This window comes from Homo sapiens, chromosome 6, assembly GCF_000001405.40.
Source record: "Homo sapiens chromosome 6, GRCh38.p14 Primary Assembly".
NCBI lineage: Eukaryota > Metazoa > Chordata > Mammalia > Primates > Hominidae > Homo > Homo sapiens.
This window is the reverse complement of record NC_000006.12, coordinates 15,578,207-15,601,162: the sequence shown is the minus strand read 5'-3', so window position 1 is coordinate 15,601,162 and position 22,956 is coordinate 15,578,207. Positions and strand designations below refer to the sequence as shown.

The 22,956-nt window shown below is 37.7% G+C and overlaps 1 protein-coding gene across 9 annotated transcripts in view, besides 1 other annotated feature; it reads left to right on the top strand.

Annotated features, from left to right (window-relative positions):
* DTNBP1 (dystrobrevin binding protein 1) overlaps positions 1-22,956 on the top strand; it is a 140,252-nt gene that overhangs the window by 61,896 nt on the left and 55,400 nt on the right. For 8 of the 9 annotated variants that reach the window (NR_036448.3, NM_001271669.2, NM_001271668.2 and 5 more), the window contains one exon: positions 8,082-8,104. Coding sequence is in view for 8 of the 9 variants with exons in the window: in NM_001271669.2 (NP_001258598.1) it covers positions 8,082-8,104 (23 nt within the window). In the remaining variant the exon portion in view is untranslated. Of the gene's footprint in view, positions 1-8,081; positions 8,105-15,174; positions 15,445-22,956 lie in introns of those variants that run through there. The other variant, XM_011514937.3, reaches the window with a different exon arrangement.
* Positions 17,679-17,879: a silencer, noted in NCBI's record as "peak5682 fragment used in MPRA reporter construct". NCBI's record gives its function as "represses an SCP1 promoter by STARR-seq MPRAs in K562 erythroleukemia cells {active_cell/tissue: K562}" and the evidence as "EXISTENCE:reporter gene assay evidence [ECO:0000049][PMID:32103011]".

Here is a 22,956-nt window from a genome sequence, read left to right as displayed (position 1 = left end):
CAAATCAATCTTTATTTACCTGACTTGATACTGTCCTCTCTTGACTTCAACACCAGTATCCCAGATGTTCTTCTCTGCCTCAGGTTCATTTTAGTTTTCTTTGTAAATGTTTTAATGCTGGTGTTCACTTGTGCTCTGGTCTTGGTTGTTGCCTCCTCTCATTCTGCAGACCCTCCTTGGGCATGCTCTTCTACATCCTTGGCTCATCTGCCAGCCATAAGGTGATCATTATCAAACCACTGTATTCAGTGCAGGTCTCTCTTCTTACCTGCAGAACCAGTTGCCACCTACACAGCTATTCCTGGACTTCTCAACAGCACCATGCCCAAAATTGTCTTCCACAGCAAAACCTGACCTTTTTCTGTTCTAATAAGATACCATCACTACAGATTTATCCAGGCCACAAATATGGGAGTCTTCATAATCTCCTCCTTCCTCTCCTACCACCTGCTCAGTTCTCAGTCCAGCCCAATATTTCCTGACTCTGTCCTTGCCTTTCTGTCTTCACTGATCCTTTCCGGAGTTCTAGCCCACGTCTTTGTAGCCTGAGTTACACTAATAGCCTCTTAATTAGTCTTGCTGTCTGTAGTCTTGTGTCCCTTCATTTATATTACTGTTAGAGTGCTCATTTTTTCCCAAATGTAGATATTAAGATTTCTGATCGTCAAGATAAAAAAAATTAAATGATGATGGTGACTATAGCAGTAGCCTTTATTGAACACTTAATATGTACCAGACACTGCTTAAAAACTCCAAATTAACTCATGGAAGTCTCACAATGACCATTTGAGTAGGTGTACTCTCTTCTCTACCAATAAGAAAAGAGAGACTAGGGGAGATAAAACAACTTGTCAGGAGTTGGAAGTAGCGGTGCTGGGCCAGAACCAATGTTTTCCTGACTTCAAAGTCTCCTCATATCTTTGATAGTAAACTGCCTCCACACAAAGCCATCTGTACTCTGTGCTTGGGTGCCATGGAGTATGGAAAGGACCTTGCTTCTCTGCGTGTATGGACTGCTGTGGGTGACTCAATGTAAGGATGGATTGAGATTTTAGGGCCTGGTGCCGCTTGATCAGGAATATATTTGTATGTGGGATGCATGAGTTTAAAAAAAAAAAATCCACCTTCTACCCTATCAGCTATAAATGGCAACAAGCCTGTAAGGATATACAGTTTCAAGTGGTGGGGCATGACTGCAGACAGCTAATAAATGACAAACCATTGATTTGGTGATAATTAATGGTAGGATGGCTCTTTAAGGAATTGGCTAGCCACTAAGAATTTTGAATAAAAAAATCAGTAACACAAAGGTGATATAAATTTTTTAAATTTGTAATAAAAATTTAAATTTAAATTTGTAATAAAGATTTTTAGCCAATTAGTTGCTGTGGACTAGTCATTAAACACTAGTACACCAGTGAAAATAAAAGTGTTTTTTGCAGGCTTATTTTTGAAAACCACGACATGTCTTCAGGGCTATGTTGGGGATTTTACCTCATGCATACATCAACGATCCTGGCTTTCAACGTTAGTTTTTATTAGTTTCCTAAAAATAATGTACTTTCCCCAAGCTAGGTAGACCCAGATGTTGCCTGGATGTTTTGGGGTGGCTCTGAGTTTCACATATCTGACTCTGGAATTCTGTAGATTTAGTGATCTACTTAAGTAACTTTCTGTTAGGGCTAAACTTGACCCTTGAACTGTATTCTGGATGCTGAAGATGATACACATGCAGAGTCAGCTGTGGGTTTTATTCCCAGTTCTGTCACTTACTATCTGTGTGGCCTTCCATCCTCAAGCCCCATTTTCCTCATGTATTAAGTGAGGGTGATGATACCTACAGTTAGGTAATTACAAGTTATAGGAGACAGTATGTGTAAAGTGCCTTGCATATTGTGGAGTATACAGTAGGAACTCAATAAATATCCCTTACCCCTGTCTCATCTTTCCTTATCCTACTTGCTTCAACCTCTCTTTATCCAGGCATGGCTTCTAAATCAAATAGATTTTCATGTAAAATAGGTTTAGGGAAATGATTCTTGCAAGGTGGGATGGAATGTAATCCATGTATAACTTAGTGCTGCCAACCTGCGTAGACCTTCATTATCTTTTTTGGAATCCATTTTTCTTAAATTCCAGGCTTTGTTACCATATCCTTCAGATCCTTTTCAACTTTAAATTCCAAGATTTTGGAATCTTATCATCTTGTTACTTTCTTGGCTGTATTTGCCCAAAATAGATATATACAATTTATATTAATAGCATAATAAATAAGGATATAATGCCATTTTTACAGTGAACTGGCTGCTTTTTAAGAGGTTTTATTTTAAAGATAATGTTGAGAATGTCTTGCTGGTTTTGTATAAGAATAAATGACAACAGAGACTTTTAAGGTATAGAGAGTCCTGAGAAAATTCATCTCAAGCTGGAAGGAGGTCCCTCCCACCACCCACCCCCAATCCCCCTCAACCCCACCAAGCCTGTAGGGTGGCACCACAGGACTGTGGACTGCCGGAAAACAACAGACCTCTGACTTGTTGGTGATGAATGGTAGATGCTTCTTTCTTGAGAGTGGGCCTGTGAGATCTTTCCCAGGAACAAGTAGTCACAGTAATAGGTTCTGTCCATCAGCCATAACAAAGGGACACTGTTCAGGAATGTTCTATAAAAGAGTATTGCTGATCATGCTTAAAAAAAATTTCCCCTAAACATTTCTACACATGAAGAAAAATGTTAGGGTGCAATTTGCAGTTGGTGTTTTGAATGTGGTATTTTGTGTTAGCCTTTTATCATGGATTTGTCCTAGGGAGGCAGTTTAGGATTTAGAGAGAGTTTGCTTTATCTGTGTTTATGGAGGCATTTATCCAGTAGCTTCTGTCTATTAAGTTTTCATCTTCAGTCTGAGCTAGTTGATTTCTACTCATATATATAGATTTAATATACTTCTTGTAACATTCCATAGGCTTATTAATGTGATTCTTTCTTTCATTTTTATTCTTTATAACTCAATCCCTGGAGAGAAAATGATTAAATAATAGCAGTTTCACCCTTTGGAATATTATTAGCTTTTGATCCTGCTGTTATTTTTTGAATGTTTTAGTTTTAGGGTTATGCTAAATTTTGTAAAGGCATTAGCTGAATTGAGTAAATTTTGAAATATGTTAACATTTAAAATGAGACATTTCAATTTTTTGTTTGATCTTCTGAAAATACTATTAAACTATGGAAATAAACTCAATTTTTAGAAAATGCAAGCAACAAACAAGTTGTTTCAAATGAGATAATATTTGATCAAACTTTATCAAAAATAAAATCTATATTTTATTACAGCAATGGCCTCTTTGAAGAAGCAGATCTTAGTCATCCTGCAGCCTCAGTACTTGGTAATCATGATTTGCTGAGTGTCTGTTGGGTCCAACTCTGGGCACGCATGTGATGCAGGATGGAAGAGATGCAGTCTCTGCACTTCAGGAACTGTAGAGACGATACCTGTATGAACAGAACCACATTACAAGGCAGCACATGAAATGTATAATATTGATAGAGTTTAGTGCTACAGAATTTTTGATAAAGGAGAGATCACTGATTGGATGTCAATGAAGTCTTCTTGGAAAAGATGAACTTGAAGGCTGTTTTACACTAATTATTATTATTAGCATTTTTATGCTAATAACACAGTTTGAAGGAGAGTGACTGGAACTTAAAACTCCTGCTTACCCATGCTTTTTCATCTGGTTAGCTGAGAGTATGTCTTAATGCTTAAGAGTAAAATATCTGCCATGTTCTCGATAAATGTTGCCCATCATCATCAGTTATACTGTCCTTGAAAATGCATCAGCTCAGTCCTTGCTTCTCCAGGAGGCCTTTCCTACCAAACCTAAGTGTATGAGTTGTCCTCTCTTCTTTATTCCTAGAGAATCCTCAGCATGTCATTACCAAAGCACTATAATCTATGACATTGATTTCTAATTATTGCTTTATTTCTCTGTCTCTCCCACTAAAGTTCCTTGAGGTTATGGAACATGTCTATTCCAAACCTAGCATTATTCCTAATGCTATTCCTAACATTATCATAGTGTCTAAGGCTTAGTAAATTTTTGTTGAATGAATGATTGAACTCAACCAAGATTATATTTAGTATACGAAAATGGATATTTATATAAGGTTGATGGCAGTGACGATGGAGAGAAGTGGATCAATTCAGGCTATCTTTTGAGATGGAATTGACAGGATTTATTGATGAATTGGATGGAGAATGAGGGAGATGGATGAGCCAAAACTTGAGGAGCCGGGTAATGCCATTAACTGAGATGACGTCGACTGGAGAAGAACAGGCTGTCTTGCAAATGTTTGAGTAGCCTACTCCACTTTTGCATAAAGCTATCAAATGGGCAGTTGCATATGAGTCTGGAGCTCAAAGAAGAGATCAAGACAGGAAATGTAATCAGGAAGTTAGTAGCATATGGATGGCATTTAAAGCTAGGGATGAAATTGGCTTATGAGCGAATGTAAGCTGAGGAGAGAAGAGGGCCCAGAACCAAGCCTGCAGCACTCCAGCATCTGGTGGTCTGGAAGGGATGGAGACAATAGCAAAAGAAACTGAGGAGGTGGGAGAACACTAGAGGGAACTGTTTCAAGAAACCACCAGTTGGGTCAAATGCTGCTTAAGGATTAGGATGAAAACAGAGAAGTGGTCTCTGGATTTGGCAACATGATGATTGTTGGTGGTGTTGATTGTGTAATGGGGGGTCCAGAAGCCAAATTGGAATGGGTTCAAGAGTGAATGCGAAGCGAGGGAGTAGGAATCTGTAGGAGTTAAATCCTCGAGTAGGCTGAAGGGGATGGGAATCCTGTCTGCAGCTTTCAGTCTTCCTGTTTCAGCAATTTCCAAACCGAACTCATGCATTGCCCTCCAAAATCTTTTCCTTCTTATGATCCAGACTAGAACTGCCCCGGTTAGCATGCTTGTCTCCTTCCTCTCCTTACCCCATTGAGTCAGATGCCTTGGGCTGTTGAGTCTTCTTTATGATACTTTTCAAATTGGAATCCTTCATTTCATTGTCATTACCACTTAACATTGCTCTTGCCAAGTATTAATTAGCTCTTCCCCACGTGCCCCCAACGTGAGTTTCCTGTGTACTCACTGCTTTTATTCTCTCCCTTGCCAGTATATCCATCCATCACAGCTAGAACGTTCTTCCTAAAATACAGCTTTGCTCATGTTATTCTCCTGCTAAAAATAAAACAAAATATTTTAGCCTGGCACTGAGAACTCTCTACCTTTTTATCTGAATTACTTTCTCTTCATTCAGCCTGCTGTTCTGAAGTATTTGCTCCAGGACAAGTACTTGCTGAAGTATTGCTGTTCTGAAGTCTGTTTCCTAAATATAACCTGCGTCGTCTTTGGCCTCTGTGACCTCACAGTCACTGCTGCCTGTGACTGACATGCCTTTCCCTGCCTTCTCTTACATTTTCTATATTTCCAAATGCTGAGTACCTCTAACAGATGGTGGAGTACACCCTAACAATTGTGAAATTTCAAGGCTTTCAGTGCTGCTGCTTTACCTCATCAGTTCCTTAAAAGTTCCATAATACTGGTTGGGCACGATGACTCATGCCTGTAATCCCAGGACTTTGGGAGGCCGAGGCAGGTGGATCAACTGAGGTCAGGAGTTTGAGGCCAGTCTGGCCAACATGGTGAAACCCCATCTCTACTAAAAATACAAAAATTAGCCAGGCATGTGGTGGTGGGTGGCTGTAATCCCAGCTACTCGGGAGGCTGAGGCAGGAGAATTGCTTGAACCCGGGAGGCAGAGGTTGCAGTGAGCCAAGATCACACCGCTGCACTCCAGCCTGGGTGACAGAGCAAGACTCTGTCTCAAAAAAAAAAAAAAAAAAAAAAAAAAAAAAAAGTTGCATAATACTGATTTTTTTCTTTAAACCAATTATTTGTACCACCACTACTTCAAGCAGTCATCTGTTTTAGGAATTGGGTACAGGAATGATTTTCTGAAGGGAAGTTTCCTGGAAATTTCGCTGACAGTTGTGGAGTTGTGGGTCATGACGCTGTGTGACAGAGGATGCCCAGAAGATGCTGGGCTTGTCCTCTTCACAGCAGCAGACAGACGGTTGCAGGGTGAGCAGGATGAGTCCACAGGAAAACCGCCCTCCTCAATTGCACACTCACTCATTAATGTATTTAATAGTAGTTGCTGGATTCCTTGTTTTTATGGTTGTTAGTATTTGGGGGTAGGAGAATAACAGTGTCTGTGAAATCATTATTCTGAGTTTCAGCTTTTTAAAACAAGAGAGCCCTTTAGAAATTCTGCTCACAGTCACACATTCTAAAAGAAGAAAATTAGAAGCTCTCTAAACATTGTAATCATAGAAAAAAAAAAAGAATTACTCATTAGAATATTGAACTGAGTGTTCTGTCAACTTTCCCCACGTCGGGGAATTGCTAATGTGAGGATGTCACTAAGAAGTAGATTGAAGATATCTTTTTGAGATTCTCTTGTGATACATATTGCCTTCCTGTTGTATTCTGGTTTTTATTATCGGGGTATAAAGCAGGTTTTAGGCATATTTAGCTTGTACCTAGCTAAGCTTTTAAGAATGAAGTTGATTATTGACTGAAGGGAAACAATTACACAGGTTTTGTTTTTGTTTTTTTGTTTTGTTTCGTTTTTTTTTTTTTTGAGACAGAGTCTCGCTCTGTCACCCAGGCTGGAGTGCAGTGGTACGATCTTGGCTTGTTGCTAACTGTGCTTCCTGGGTTGAAGTGATTCTCCTGCCTCAGCCTCCCTAGTAGCTGGGATTGCAGGTGCCCACCACCACACCCGGCTAATTTTTTTGTATTTTTAGTAGAGACGGGGTTTCACCATGTTGGCCAGGCTGATCTCGAACTCCTGACCTCAGGTGATCCACCTGCCTCAGCCTCCCAAAGTGCTGGGATTACAGGCATGAGCCACCACGCCCAGCCACACAGGTTTTTGAAAAAATAGGATTGAAAATTCTTGCATAGTTTATGAACCATGGTGCTGGATAATTATTATAAGTAGATATTGTTAGGAAAAAACGGAGTGGGATGACCATCTGATTTAAGAACCTTCACTTTGGCTGTTGCAAGAACATTATCTACTTGGCCTTTCAGTAGGCAGCTTGCCAGTCTCTTCTAGCAGCTGTTGAGTGTAGTCAGCTATTTTGGAACATGAGGGGTATTGTAATTAGGTGTGTAGAAAATTGATTTAAGAATTCAAAACATCTCTAGATTTTTAGTAAAACCTGGACTGCAAGTACAAAATAAATGTCTCATATTTTAACTGGGATAACCAGCCTTTATTTCCTCAAAATTACTCATTAGTACTGATAATGAGGAAAAAAAATACGTAACTGCAAAATTGTGAGGGAAAGCCTCAAAACAACTTGCTTTGCTTTCTTTGTCACAAAATGTTTATTTTAATCTATGTTTCCCCACTGTACACTTCCCAGGAAACTTTGTGTTTTGGCATCCTTACTTAATATTGACAAAATAATAAACCAGAAGATTCCTAGAGGCTTGGCCCTTTGTGGCATGAGCTGTGCACCTCAATCCTTTGATATGCACTTTCCCCCTTTTCTCTTTTGCTGTTGAAAGGGAAAACAACTGCTTCTATTTTGGATAATTCTTAACTAACGATCTCAAAAATCCAGTATTGAATATTTATCCATCAAGGAAAAATTGTGTTAAGTGCTTTTTATAAACTGATTCTTACATGTATGAGATGGTTCATAGCTGGGATTAAAATGCTGTCTGTGTTCTTATAATTGTTTTATTGTTTAGATGAAATTGTTTAGATTATTATTTGGATTCTGGTGGAACTTTTTTGAGCCATTAATAGAAAATAGCAGAAATAACTGAAAATAGTTGGTTTAGGCTCATTGTACTGGTCATTTCAGTAAAGTATAACTGATATGTGAAGATCCAGAAATACCACTGTGGGCATTTAAAGTACATAAGTTTTTATTATGATGGAAGAACAGTTTTCATTGGGGAGATTTTTAATTTGCATTGTCTTGTCTTTTTTTTTTTTTTCCTACAGGAAGGAACTTGAAACCTTCAAAGGTAATTTTGTGTTAATTCTTCACTTTAAAGTAGTTGAGAGTTCATTGGTATCAGATGTTCTCTCGACAATGATGAACAAACTCATTTTTTAAAATCAGTTTACATAAAACAGTAAAACTTAATACTGTTTTTTGTAGGTTTTGCTTAATCACAGGTGGTTTTGATATTCTCTTTAGCACATGTACCAAGTGAGAGTTCCTGCTAATGACCTTTATAAGTGGTGTGTTAGGAAGGTGCAGTGCTAACTTTGAGGTTGTTGAGAATCATAGTTTAAGAAGATTCTGGTTTCTCTTGTACAGTCTGGGCCATGTGGAAAGGGAATGGTGACAAAGATCAAGAGGTGCCCCTGTAATTGACCTTGCAGTCACTCGAACCTCCTGAGAGGTCTTCAGTGCTGGGCCCTGCTCTGCTGCTGTCTTGTGACTTTGGATGAGTCTCTTACCTTTTCAGGCACAGTTTCTCTCTCCATCTGTAAAATTAGAGGCTCAGATGAAATATATTCTGAGATTCCAAAAGCACCCAGCATTACTTTTTACTTTTAGGGAATGCCTGAAGGAGGGACGCTAGAGAATAATTCTTGGTTATGTTGACCCTTACTGGTCATGGAGAAACACTAGTGAAAAACAGAAAAAAACACAAACTTTCCAGCAGCTCAAGGTTCTTCCAGTTTCCCATTTTTCAATTAATTACTCATGAGCAATTAAGTAGTAGAAATCCTATTCTCGAGAGATTCATTTCAATAACTGAGAAAACTTTTTGAATTACTTATTAAATCACTTCTGATTTTGTTGTTTTATGCTTATTATACTTCACGTATAAACCAGCATTGTCCTTTAGATTTACCGAATGGTTAAAGATTTCCAAGTATATCATTTATGGTTGAATTGTTTATATGTGTGATCTGTTTGGATTTAGAAAAAATGACAAATTCTCAAGATAAAAGGTATAAAGGCATATTCCTCCTATAGCTATTATTGAACAGCTTTGTTTGGCTGGATTTCTGTTTGACCTACTACGGCTCTAGTAAATGATTAAGTTCATGGCCAGTTTGTTGAAGGTAATGTTAAATGATCATGTGATACAATGTGTTGTCATGGCTGTCATTGTTCTTAATTCAATTTGTAAACCACTACTTGTATACATTCTTTTTTCAATCAGTGGTTTAAAATAAGATTTGAAATCCTTATAAAATGCCTTTTCCTTCTCATTCTTTTCTTTTGGTTGACTAGTTTAGTATCTTCTTATATAACAGTAAGAGATGAAAAAAACAATCAAGTTAATATTAAAAGACAGGGCAGGGACACAGATTATGTAAAATGTCAGTTTTACTTGCATCTCAGTGCTGAGGCGTACTTTTTTTAGTGTGACAATATTCAGAGAAAAAGAAGAGAATAGCAGTTTGCAAAAGGTTAGGTAGTGTTGTATATTACCCGATAGAATAATTCAATTTAGGCTGAAATATCTTGTTTATACACACATTCCTAATTATGTACAATTAACAGCACATCAAATCCACCCACAGTCCAATTAAAGATCTCAAATATGAACAAACCCTAAATTGAATGTTGCATTATATCTAGATTTTTATTATCAGTGTTCATTCAAAATTGTTTCTTCTTGAGTGTTTTGCTAATATTTTTAAAACGTGGCCTGGGCATGGTAGCTCACGCCTGTAATCCCAGCACTTTGGAAGGGCCTCCTTTGGGAGGCCGAGGGGGATCACCTGAGGTCAGGAGTTCAAGACCAGCCTGGCCAACATGGTGAAACCCCATCTCTACTAAAAATTCAAAAACTAGTCAGGCGTGGTGGTACCCCCAGCTACTCAGGAGGCTAAGGCAGGAGAATCGCTTGAACCTGGGAGGTGGAGGTTGCAGTGAGCCAAGATTATGCCACTGCACTCCAGCCTGTGCCACAGAATGAGACTCTTGTCTCAAAAAAAAAAAAAAAAGTACCCTATAACAAGAAAAACAGAAATTTAATAGCTCTTCCAAAGTATTAGTGAAGAAAAAAAGTTGTAAAAGTTTGTTCGAACATATTGTGGCAATTTATTATTTTTTGAATATTGCCTTTTTCCTTTTCAGGTTGCAGGAAAATAAAAGGTGTTACTTCCTCCAATTGCTTTATTCAACTTATATTTAGAAGCTCTTTTCTAAATTGGGGGAAAACTAACTTTTGAGAACCAAAATACCAAATTAGTAACCCTCAAAGTTAGTAATGTAGATTAATATCATCCACCATGTTCTGGATTCTCCCTTCTAATACTCCATTGAGGTTGATGAGTTACGTTCACCTTCTGGTGCATATGGCCAATCTCTACAAGATTATTGAAACCAGTTGTTGTTCTTATTTTAATATTGGCAGTAGGAAATTTTTCTGTGTTCCCCAAATACTGCATTCATTTAAAATTTTTAGTGACATCACTCAAATATTAGACAGCAGAAAAAGAGGATAGGATCATAAAAGTCCTTATTTTATATTTTTAATGGGGAAGGAATTCCATTATTGTAAGCACATGTAGAGTACATAAGCTTTCATAGTCTTTAAAGACATAAGACATTGAAGACTTAGCTCTGGAAAGCAGAGCCAGTGGATGAGGTAGGACAAAAGTGGTCAGAGAAACAGGAAGACTAAGGCAACGTAGTGACAAAAAAACTACAGAGGAGAGTTTAAAGGAGGAAAGGTGGTTATCCATAATATAAGTAATGCAGAGAAGTTGAGCTGAATGGAGAGAGCCTGTTGGATTTGACAATGAACAGGTCATTGGTGACCTGAAAGAGCTGTTTGTAAAGGTTGAATCCGAATTGAAAATCAGAAGTGTATGAATAGGCCGGGCATGGTGGCTCACGCCTGTAATCCTAGCACTTTGGAAGGCTGAGGCAAGCGGATCACTTGAGGTCAGGCATTCGAGAACAACCTGGCCAGCATGGTGAAACCCCATCTCTACTAAAAATACAAAAAATTAGCCCAGCGTGGTGGTGGGCGCCTATAGTCCCAGCTACTTGGGAGGCTGGGGCATGAGAATTGCTTGAACCTGGGAGGCAGAGGCTGCAGTGAGTGAGCCAAGATTGTGCCACTGCACTCCAGCCTTGGCAACAGAGTAAGACTCTGTCTCCAAAAAAAGAAGTGTATGAGTAGTTAGGAAATAAAGGTGACATGAACTAACTATTCAATCATGAATGGTAGAAAAAAATGAAAATGTAATGAGATGGGATCCGGGTCAAAGTCAGGGGAGGTATAGTTGAAGATATTGAAGGAGTCATTATGATACCAAAGAAAATGGAAAGAAGTGGTATCCAGATAGGTTATCCTTGGAGAGTATCCAGGGATGTCTCTTTTCCTAAGACCTTAGAGAAGGAAAGGATGGCTGATAATATAGGGAAAAGTTGACATGGAAGGATTAAATAATTTTTTGAGAATTCACGTAAGGAATGATAATCTGAATTTTCAGGGCTAGGCTCAGAAGCAGAAATAAAAAAGCAAAACAAATATGCTTTGGTTAACACAGAGTTGGAAATGGGAAGACATGTAAGATGGGCCAGCAGGCATGGTAACCATGGATGCTAGTGAGACTATGATTGAAATGATTGGCTGTGGAGTTCTGACTAGAGAGAGGGGAGGCCTGACCAGACCAGCAGAATAAGCAGGCTGAATGGTACAGGTGAGGTACCCCGTAAAGGGGAAGAACACTTTTAGTGGTTGAGGTGGATCTTGTGGTCAAAGAAGAGATTTCAGTTTGAAATCTTAGAAGGGGAGCAATTCCCAGTGATGATGATGGCTAAATTTGAGTAAAAATAGAAGGCACCAAGTCATCTGACTTGGAGACTTCTGAGGCTGTGAGGAGTCTCACTTGTTTGGATGACTCGTGGATGTGGCTTATGCATATTACTGGCTTGGCAGCCCTTAGCATGTTACAGATAGGGATGATGATGCTAGGTGGTAAACTTCAGTAGAATTTGTTGGTTCACTTCAAGAGTTGGCTTAACGTGTGAGACAAAACTATTCAGCTGCCATTGAACAATACTTAAGTGACTCAGGTTGGATGATGTTACTGTCCTCTGTCCTCAGGGAGCTAAAGGACTGTGGCAAAGCTTATAGATTAGAAAGGCAAATATATAATTTGAATATAATATAGAAATAATAGAAATAAGTACACTAAGGTGGGAGTAATTAACCAGAGAGAGGTCATGACACTTGATCTGAATGACGAGTACTCACTGGGCTAGAAAGGATAACAAAGACATTCCAGGAAGAGGAAAGAACAGTTGTAAAGATGCATATATGTTTATTTCAAGAATACAAGTTAAAATTTAATTTCTTATTTATTGAAGGAGCCACAAATAATTTGCCTGGCTGAAGCATATGGTGTGTGGGGTGAAGTGATGAGGGATGAAGTTGGACAGAGAGGCAAGGAACAACTGGTACCCAGCCTTGAATGCCATACACAGGAACTTGGACATTTCCCTTTAGGCCAGTGGTCTTCAAAGAGGAATGTGGGCATGCAGAGCATTAGGAGGAGAGAGGAAACTGGAATTTTTGTTTTTTTATGTCATCCTTTTAAATGTCAATTTTCTGTATATTATGTAATAAATTAGAGCAGGAATTCATGCATATGTCAGGGGTGCATGATTAAAAAGAGCTCAAAGGTTATTGTAGCTGATAGAGTCCGGATAGGGAGTAGGATATTCCCAAGGGTTTCAATCAGGGTAGAAGGATCAGATTTGCATTTTAAAGCAAGTTTTCTGGAATCATATAGGAGATAGATTAGAGAAGATCAGGTCTAGACTAAAAAAGATCAGTTGGGAAACTATTAGATTTGAATTCAGCCATTGCTAGAATGGAGGGAAAGACACAGATTCAGGAAACTGAGTAGAATAAAAAGTCACTATATTGTTCCTTTTTATTGCTGAATTAATATTTCATTGTATGAATATACCCCATTTTGTTTATCCACTCAGCAGCTGATGGACATTTGGATTGTTTCCAGGTTTTGCCTATTTTGAATAATGCTGCCATCAACTTTCTTATGCAAGTCTTTGTGTTGACATACATTTTTATTTATCTTGGGTATATAGCTAAGACTAGAATATATGGATTGTATGACAAGTTTGTGTTTAACTTTTTGAGAAACTGCTGAACTGTTTTCTAAAATGGCTGTACCATTTTACGTTCCTATCAGCAGTGTGTGAGGGCTGCAGTTTCTCCTCATCCTTGACAACACTAGTTAGCTCTTACATTTAGGTCTGTGATCCATTTTCAGTTAAGCCTTGTGTTCGTGTGAGTTAAAAGTCTACCTTCATTTTTTTACGTATCGATATTCAGTTGTCTCAGAACCATTTTTTGGCAGACCTTGGGGCTCTAGGCTGCACCATGCCCGAAGTCTCCCTCACAAGCCTTAGAACTATTTTTTGAAAAGAGCTTCTTTTCCCCATTGAATTGCTTTGGCACCTTTGTAGGAAACCAGTGACCATAATGTAAGAGTTTTTTTCTGAACTCTCAACTTTGTTCCTTATTGCCAGTGCCACACTGCCTTGACTAGTGTAGCTTCGTAGTAAGATTTGAAATTGGGACGTCTAAGTCCTCCAACCTACTACTTTTTAAAATTGGTTTGACTATTTAATATTTAAGGTCCTTCGTCTTTTCATATAAATTTTAGGATCATTTTGACAATTCTAACAAAGGAAAGAGCCTACTGAGACTTGAATAGGGATGGTTGTGTTGCATGTATAGATCAATTTGGGGAAAATTGTCATCTTAATGATAGTGAGTCTTTCAATCCATGAACATGGAATGTATCCATGTTTGTTTAAGCCATCTTCAGTTTTTCTAAGCAGTTTTGTTGTTTTCAATATGTGAGTCTTAAATTTATTCCTTAATATTTCATTCTTATTGAGTGAATTTCACCATGAGCATGTTAAATTTGCAGTATCTGTAAGACATTATAGGTGGAAGTGTCCAATGGGCTGTTGAACCTCAGGAGAAGGATCTGAGCTAGATTTGAGAGTAGCCAGCATGTAGGTGGGAATGGAAGCCCGGGGTTTGGATGACGTTGCCCACAAACAACAGGGCAGAATGAAAAAAAGTTGACAATGCATAGAAATCTAGGAAGCACCAACATTCACCAGACAGGCACGAGAAGAGAGCTAGTTGCCCATAGTGGAGGCAAAGAGGAAAATGTGATAAGGAGAACATTTCAAGGACATGTCAAGAAGCAGTGTCATATTGTTGTGGAGAAGGCAAACTGAAATATAGCCTGAGAAGCTAATTGGTGATCTTAATGAGGACACTTTCAGCAGCATGGGTTTGTGTGTGGGGGTGCTGGGGGTAGAAACCAGATGGCAGAGGATTGGAATGAGTGGACTGTTCTGCCTTGTTCACCATTGTGACTCAGGTGCTTGGCACTTTGGTGCTTATTAAATATTTAAATGAATGAGGGAGTAGAGACAATGCTTTCAAAAGCTAAGGCTAAAGGAAGGAAAGAAGAATAGTTAGAGGAGAGAGTTAGGTTGAAGGGAGGATTTTTTTTTTTAATTTTGGGAGGAAGTTGAGTATATTTGTATGAAAAAGGAACAGAAGCTATAGAGAGGGAGAGGTTGAAGATACAGTGAGAGTGGCTGATTGATGGAGCTGTGATTCAGAGGGGACCAGCGGGAGTGGGATTTAGACCATACTATTTTCAAAAAGGAAAAATTTGTGGAGAAGTGTTTGTAACTATTAGAATTGATGACTTAAGATACTTATTAAAAATATATAGCACATTCCAAGCCACTGGTTAGTGTTGCTGAATTTGAAAAAACCTTTAGGCTAATGCTACATTAAAAATGAGGTAGGGGAAAATTATAGATGCCTTGTGTGTTATGAAATGAACTATATTTTTAATTTTTATGTTACTACTTTCAAACAGCAAGATTTCATCTCTCTTTTGCTGTGTTACTAAAGCATCTTTGTACCTAGATGACAAATTCTGTTGGATTTAGTTATTTTCAGCCTTCCCTCCCCTCCATTTTGAGCTGCATTTGGTATGGTCCCAGACCGGTGCATACATCTTTGCACACTAGAGCCCCTGAGAGCTTGCATTTTGCTTTTATAGAGGCAGTAGATTCCAATGTATATCTGCTTAAGCCATCAGCAAAAAACTAATAGGCTTACTACAATTTCTTTGGAAAAACCTGCTTCTGGCTTCAGCCTCACTTCCTTTGTTCTACATCCCAGAAGATGCACGTGAGGGCAGCTGCCTGGTAACTGGAGGCTTCACTTGACCAGCACTGAGCTTCTGTTCACTCCTTCAGGTCTCACATCCATGTCATCTCCAGGACTCACCGAAAATAGTCAGAGGGATCCCTGTAGGTGGAACTTTATTTTCTGTTTTTCCTTTGCTGCTTTCCTTTGAAATGTTTATTTCCATGCCTGGATACATTGCTGTATTTGCATGGTATGCAGATGATATATTATTAAAAAGCAGAAATTAAATTTCAACTTGACTTGAACCTACAAGTAGTACATTTTTATGAGAGCATTATTAGTTCTTTCTATTACCAACAAGTAATAATTACTAAATTAATACCTAAAATAAGTTTAAAATGTTGCATGGAAATGTAGGACTTTTTTTTTTTTTTACAATATGTGTCTTTTCATGCATCAGGTGAAATTAATCAAACTGACATTTTTTATGAAGCAATATTTGTATTAAAAGATAAATATAAAATACCAGGAAAATAATACTAGCTATTTGAATAATGAGGCTGGTACAGCTCCATAAAACTAATTCGGCATCCCTTGCTGCTAGTATGTTCATTTTCCAAGAGGCAGTTAATAGAGTTAAATATGTGAGCCATATCCAAAGATAGTATAAAGTTAAAATTCATTCTATGGTACTATATGGATTTATCTAAAATGGCTGATTTTCAATATGGATTTTGAAAAATGTCATAATGCTTCATACAGGTTGAATATATATATATATATATATATATATATATATATATATATATATATATTCTTTTCATAATTTCATATAACTTCAGTGTATTCCTTATCTGTTAGCCAGAGGCTGTGGTTTTAATGACATCTCTGTGTGGTATTTATATATATATATAAATACATATATAAGGATATTGAAGTTGTGGAACTTACTGCAAAAAATACCTGAAAAATTAACTGTGCATTTTTTGTTGAGTAATTTATTGTACTATCCATGGGGGTGGTAACTGAGGAATAATTTTTAATAGTGATTGCATTTTTTAAAACTCCCTGTTATTTCTTTTAGTTGGCATACGTTATGGCATGTTATATACATCATGCCTTGTCAGGTAGAAGCCACTTCTCTGTAAATGAAAAAAAAAAAAAAAAAAAAAAAGAAATACATGTTGTCTCTCATCTATCAAGGTTATTCTCTTTTTAATATTACAAATTTGAATAAGGTATATCAAACTTAAGAGAAAAGTTCCTTCTTTGTGTCCCTCTCTCACGCCTGTGTATGTATAACATAGCAAAACCTTTCAAGCTTAGATAGACATATTAACAGAAGTAAAATGATAGCTCAGGAATTCATTATAAAATTGGAGCATTAATGGAATCAAATTCTAACTAGAGGTTTTACCACATTCTTATTCATTATTAAGTGTTCAGGAAAAAACTTATCAGTGAGAACTTTGGCATTTATTTTTAAAGTATTTACTTATAGGGAATGTATGATAAATGACATATTTTCTCTTCTCTCAGTCATTATCTTAAATAATGGTTCTAAGAGTAAAGATCTGCATATAGGTATAATCTGATATTCAATTTTAATATTTTAGATCATTCATCTAAGAAATTGCTCCTTGAAAATCATGATTTGTTGGTAAATACTGGCAAGATTTTTGAGGTGTCTGCTCATCTTTTTCTCATATGTCAATATATGTTAAGTGTATATTCGTTTTTTTAAAAGCTGGCTTATATTTATGTAACAGTGTTTAAATAAAGTTAGTATCTATATCCTGTAATACCAAAATATTTATATCCTGTTTGTTAATTTTGGCTCTAAGACAGTTTATTTCTAAGACGGAGTTGATTGTTTATTCTAATACCATGTCTTAAGTTGTCATACTGGGCATGACCTGAAATTCTCTAAGACGATGTTCTATATTGAAGGGGAATTGGCACTTTAACAGCTTGTTTAGGTATTAAACTACATAAAAATAGAGCATCAAGATTAGGGTTGTGATGCTTAAATGTTACTTTTCTGGGATTTCTTGTAATGATCATATACCACCATTGTATGATCAATAATTATAGCAATAGAGTATTTTAGAAGTGAATCAGGACAACGTTTTGTTGTCTATCATAAATGTTTGGTATCATGAATAAATACAGCTATTCTGTTTCATTACCTTTTTGCTGGAACATGGTATAACTTGACAGCAAAAATTATACCTTTCAGAAAACTAAATTTTAAAACCACAAAAAGAAATCTTTGAAAATTTTAGCTGTCAGCCTTAACAAGAGACTTTGTCTGTTGAATTCATATGGAGCTTCATGATTTTGTCTTAGCTTTTTAGAGGTGTGTGCTGGAAAATAACCTGTGGGATCTTGTAGCTCTGCTGATTAAACTGTTGAAGGCAACTGGGATGGAGTTTGTACTTTTCTCAGAAGATTGGTAGTTGCCTAATGGTTTTTATAAACTTCTAGAGTAGGGGAGAAGTCAAGTGGCCAACTGAGCTGAGAAACTCTCACTCCTACTTAAATATTCATCTGGCTTTCCCTGTAAAGGTATGCCTATAGCATAAATATAAGTATATGGGTGGGAGCAGTGGCTCACACCTGTAATCCCAGCACTTTGGAAGGCCGAGGCAGGAGGATCGCTTGAGACCAGGAGTTTGACACCAGCCCAGGGTAACATAATGAGACCCCCGCTCTACAAAAAAATTTAAAAATTAGCCGGGCATGGTGGCATGCACCTGTAACCCTACCTACTTGAGAGGCTGAGGTGGAAGGATCACTTGAGGCTCAGGAGTTTGAGGCTGCAGTGAGCTATGATGGCACCACTGCATTCCAGCCTGGGCAACAGAGCAAGACCCTGTCTCTAAAATAAAATAAAATGAATCAGCATTTGAAATTTGGCTAATTTGTTTTTATTTGAGAAGGAAAATGGTGTTTACCCTAAGATAGGGGAAATAACTAAAGAAGCATTGGAATAATATTGAACTATTTAATATCCCTTTGTATTCTTAAGAATCATTTAAAGTGTTGTATAAAAGAGTAGCATAGGATACTTAATAATATGCTATTCACTTTCAAGTCTCTAATTCCAGTTTTGAAAACCTATGAAATAAATACTATGGTAGATAAAATGGAATTGAACAGTCAGAAACTTACTACATGAAGATGACTCATCAGTTCTAATTATGTTTATTTTTAACTGAAAATAAAAGTATATGTAATAAGAATTATCGTAGTAATTGCAATGATGTGATCAAAAAATAAATAACCACCAGGATTTTTTTCTTTCATTTAGTAAAATTAATGTGGCACAGAATATCAGTCATACCATTATAGGTATATAAGTATAATTCTGTTTATTTCTATTAAAACTCTAATAAATTAGTGAAAAGAAACTACTTATTAGGCATGTACATGTGTTAGCTCTGTACTTTGCATTTCATAGTTAGTACCACAGTATCTCAAGTAGTATCAAAACAACCCTGTGAGATGAGAAAATTGAGACTTAGAGAGTTAAACAAGTCACCCAGCTAGTAAGCATTTCAGCAGGGATTTAAACCCAGGAACGTCTGCCCTCAAAACCTGTGTTTTTCTCACTTCACCACAGTCATTCCTGGGACGTGCTAAAATGTAAACAATAGAATTTAGACAAGTTTTGAGTTTCCATAGTGTTCAGTGTTCTTTAGGTATTGCATTTATATCCAGTCCCTTTCCCCCATTCTCTTTCTATACCGCAAACTTTGAATAGCTAAGTAGCATATTGAGATTTCATCTTTAACTGTATTTGAACTGCTTCCTGGTCTTGCTGTGTAATGCTCCTTTAATACAGGGCTATTCTAAGAATAAAACCCAGTGTTTAAAAAAAAAAGATGCTGATTTATGCTGCAGAACCCTGGAAAGATTCCTCTGAATTTGAGATGTGGGTTGAAGCTCAGGGCAGGATTAGAAGAAAGACTAGTAAGGCCTCTAGCTCCCCTCTGCACACTGTGTCCCCCTTGGACAGGAAATATTTGACCATTCTTAAAGTCAAATCTTCTCTATTGCAGATGCTGATTTCTGCGTAACAGTTTTAAAAGAATTTCTGCCTGGGCGCGATGGCTCATGCCTGTAATCCCAACACTTTTGGGGGGCCAAGGCAGGTGGATCACCTGAGGTCAGGAGTTCAAGAACAGCCTGGCCAACATGGTGAAACCCTGTATCTACTAAAAATACAAAAATTAGCTAGGCGTGTTATGCTCCTGTAGTCTTAGCTACTCTGGAGGCTGAGACAGGAGAAGTGCTTGAACCTGGGAGGCAGAGGTTGCAGTGAGCCAAGATCTCACCACTGCACTCCAGCCTGGGTGACAGAGCGAGACTCCATCTCAAAAAAAAAAAAAAAAAAAACAGTCGGGCGCGGTGGCTCATGCCTGTAATCCCAGCGCTTTGAGAGGCCCAGGCGGGTGGATCACGAGGTCAGGAGTTCAAGACCAGCCTGACCAAGATGGTGAAACCCTGTCTCTACTAAAAATACAGAAATTAGCCAGGCGTGGTGGCAGGTGCCTGTAATCCCAGCTACTCGGAAGGCTGAGGCAGGAGAATTGCTTGAACCTGGGTGGCAGAGGTTGCAGAGAGCCGAGATGGAGCCACTGCCCTCCAGCCTAGGCCACAGAGTGAGACTCCGTCTAAAAAAAGAAAACAGAAAAAGAATTTCTGGCAGTCTCCCCTTTTCTACTTCTTTCTAGCCATTGTATCTTAGAAAAACTTTGAAGTCCTGTCATCCAACACCTCGTCCCATGTAGAGTCCGTTTATGAGCAGTCCTGAAGGTGTTTACGTGGTGTGTTGACAGTTCACACTCTCTACCAACCTTCTAAGGCTTCAGAGTTGTAGTTCCTTGACCTTTTCTTTTCGTGGTAGCTGATTGTAGATGCTTTATTCTCCTGGTCATTCTTGTCTAGACCCATGCTAGTTTTCCAATACCCCATATAAAAATGGTGTTTGTACCTGCACAGTCTTCTAGAAACGGTGACTGTGACTATAGCTTTTTAGTCACCTTTTCTGCCAGTCAGCTCATGTTTAACTACAATGCCCAGATCTTTTTAACATGAAAGTGCCCCTAGTCTTTATTTTTAAAATAACTGTAAAAGCAATGCATCCCCATTGAAGACAGGAAAATTTAAAAAGCTTCTGGGAAAAAAATTGAATCACTAGTCTGCAATAGCCTCAAACATTTTTGAGGTTTATATACACACACACATATATAGACATATCATCCAAAATTGGAATAGCATACAAACAATTTTGTTTCCTGTTTTTTCCCCTTATGAAATGAGCATTGCCTCATGTCATTAACATACTGTTTTCCTATTGTTGGAAATTTAGGTAGTTGCCAGTTTTATGCTAAGCATAACTTGTGCTGTAATAAGCATCTCTATACGTACATAGATAGGGCCACAATTTTTTACAGCCTAAGTGTATTACATTTTTTAAGGCTCTTGGTGTGTATTCATCGTTAGCTTTTTAGAAGGGTTGTTCCAGTTTATACTTTCATTAGCAATGTCTGTGACTTTATCTATTTCATAGACCCTCACCTGAGTATTTTTTTCTTGTCTTTACTAATATGAAAGCAAAAATAAAATTTGATTATTGTTTGAGGTGTGACGGGAGGTAAAATGTGATTTATCGGCTTTTTATTGTTGTTATGAACTGTTTTTGCTTCTGGCTGCTTTCAGTTGCAGTTTTAGTGTACTTGTAGATTTGAATGAAGGGGTTACATATTAAGGGTTTCAAATTGTCATATTTATTGCAGATATTTATCTTCAACTAATTATTTGCCTTTTAATTTTGCGTGGTTATTACACACAGAAGTGTAATATTTTTTATTCAAATGAATTGTTTTGCTTTTATTATTTTAAATGGACACATAATTGTACATATTTGTGTGGTACACTGTAAAGTTTTGATACATATATGTAATGTGTAATGAGTAAATCAGGATAATTAGCATATCTATCACCTCAAACATTTCTTTGCATTGAGAACATTCAAAATTCACTCTTTTCTTTTTTTCTTTTTTTGAGAGGGAGTCTCACTCTGTCGGCCAGGCTGGAGTAGTGCAGTGGCACGATCTCAGCTCACCACAACCTCCGCCTCCCAGGTTCAAGTGATTCTCCTGCCTTAGCCTCCCAAATAGCTGGGATTACAGGCGCCTGCCACCATGCCCAGCTAATTTTTGTATTTTTAGTAGAGACAGGGTTTCACCATGTTGGCCAGGCTGGTCTCAAACTCCTAACCTCAGATGATCTGCCCGCCTTGGCCTTCAAAGTGCTGGAATTACAGGCGTCAGCCACCGTACCTGGCCAAAATCCACTTTTATAGCTATTTGAAAATATACAATAAATTGTTATAGTCACCCTACAGTGCTATAGAACACAGGAACTTGTTCCTCCTCTCTGTAATTTTGTATTTGTTAACCAACATCTGGTTAACTCTCCGTTCCCAGCCTCTAGTAACCACTATTCTAGTCTCTACTTCTATGCAGTCAAGTTTTTTAGCTTCCATATATGAGTGAGAATATGCAATACTTGTCTTTCTATGCCTGGCTTGTTTCACTTAATGTTTTACAGGCTCATCCATGTTGCTGAAAATGATAGGATTTTGTTCTTTTTTATGGCTGAATAATACTCCATTGTGTATACATACCACATTTTCTTTATCCATTCATCTGTCGATAGACATTTAGTTGATTCCATATCTTGGCTTTTGTAAATAGTGCTGCAAGAAACATGAGAGTGCAGCTATCTAATCAAAATACTGATTTTCTTTTCTTTGGTAAATATCCAGTAGTGGGATTGCTGAATCGTGGTAATTCTATTTTTAGTTTTTTGGGGGCACCTCCATACTGTTTTCCATAACAACTGAGATAATTTACAGTCTGACCAACAGTGTCTAAGAGTTTCCCTTTCTCCACATCCTCACCAACACTTACCCTTTGTCTTTTTGATAATGGCCATTCTGACTGTAGGAGATGATACCTCACTGTGGTTTTGATTTGCATTTCCCTGATGGTTAGTGATGTTGAGCATTTTTTTCACATACCTTTTGGGCATCAAATGAATATTTTTAATGATACCTTCCATTGCTTTTCTGCATGGAAGATTCTCTCCCAATCCTAAGAAATAAATATTAGCTTGTTATTTCTTCCAGTTTTTATTATAGTTTACTTATTACTTTAACTCTACTTAATCTAGAACTTATTTTGATTTACAGCATGAAATGACCACTCAATATTTTGCCATATAAGTCATTAATTTTTTTAGTACTATGCAATAATTCCTTACTTTTCTCTCCCTCTGTTGCTGGAAAAAATGTAATTGGTTAAATTCCATCCTGCCTGCATGGTGTATGCCCCCGAGCAGCTGAATGTAGCTAGAAGAAAACATAACATCCTTTCCTGAGTTCTCACTTCAGATGTTGTCCACAATTCACTAGAAAGCCTTCATCCAGGCTGGCAATCCTAGTACATTCCCCTCTGCGCACTAGGAGAATGCTCTTTTCTCAAACTGGGACATCCCCTCCCTGATCCCATTCCTCATTGCTTTCCTCTGATTTCACTGAGGAACTGGAAGCAGTCAGAAGAGAAGGGCTCTGTGCTCCCTGCACTAACACCCCCTCCTCC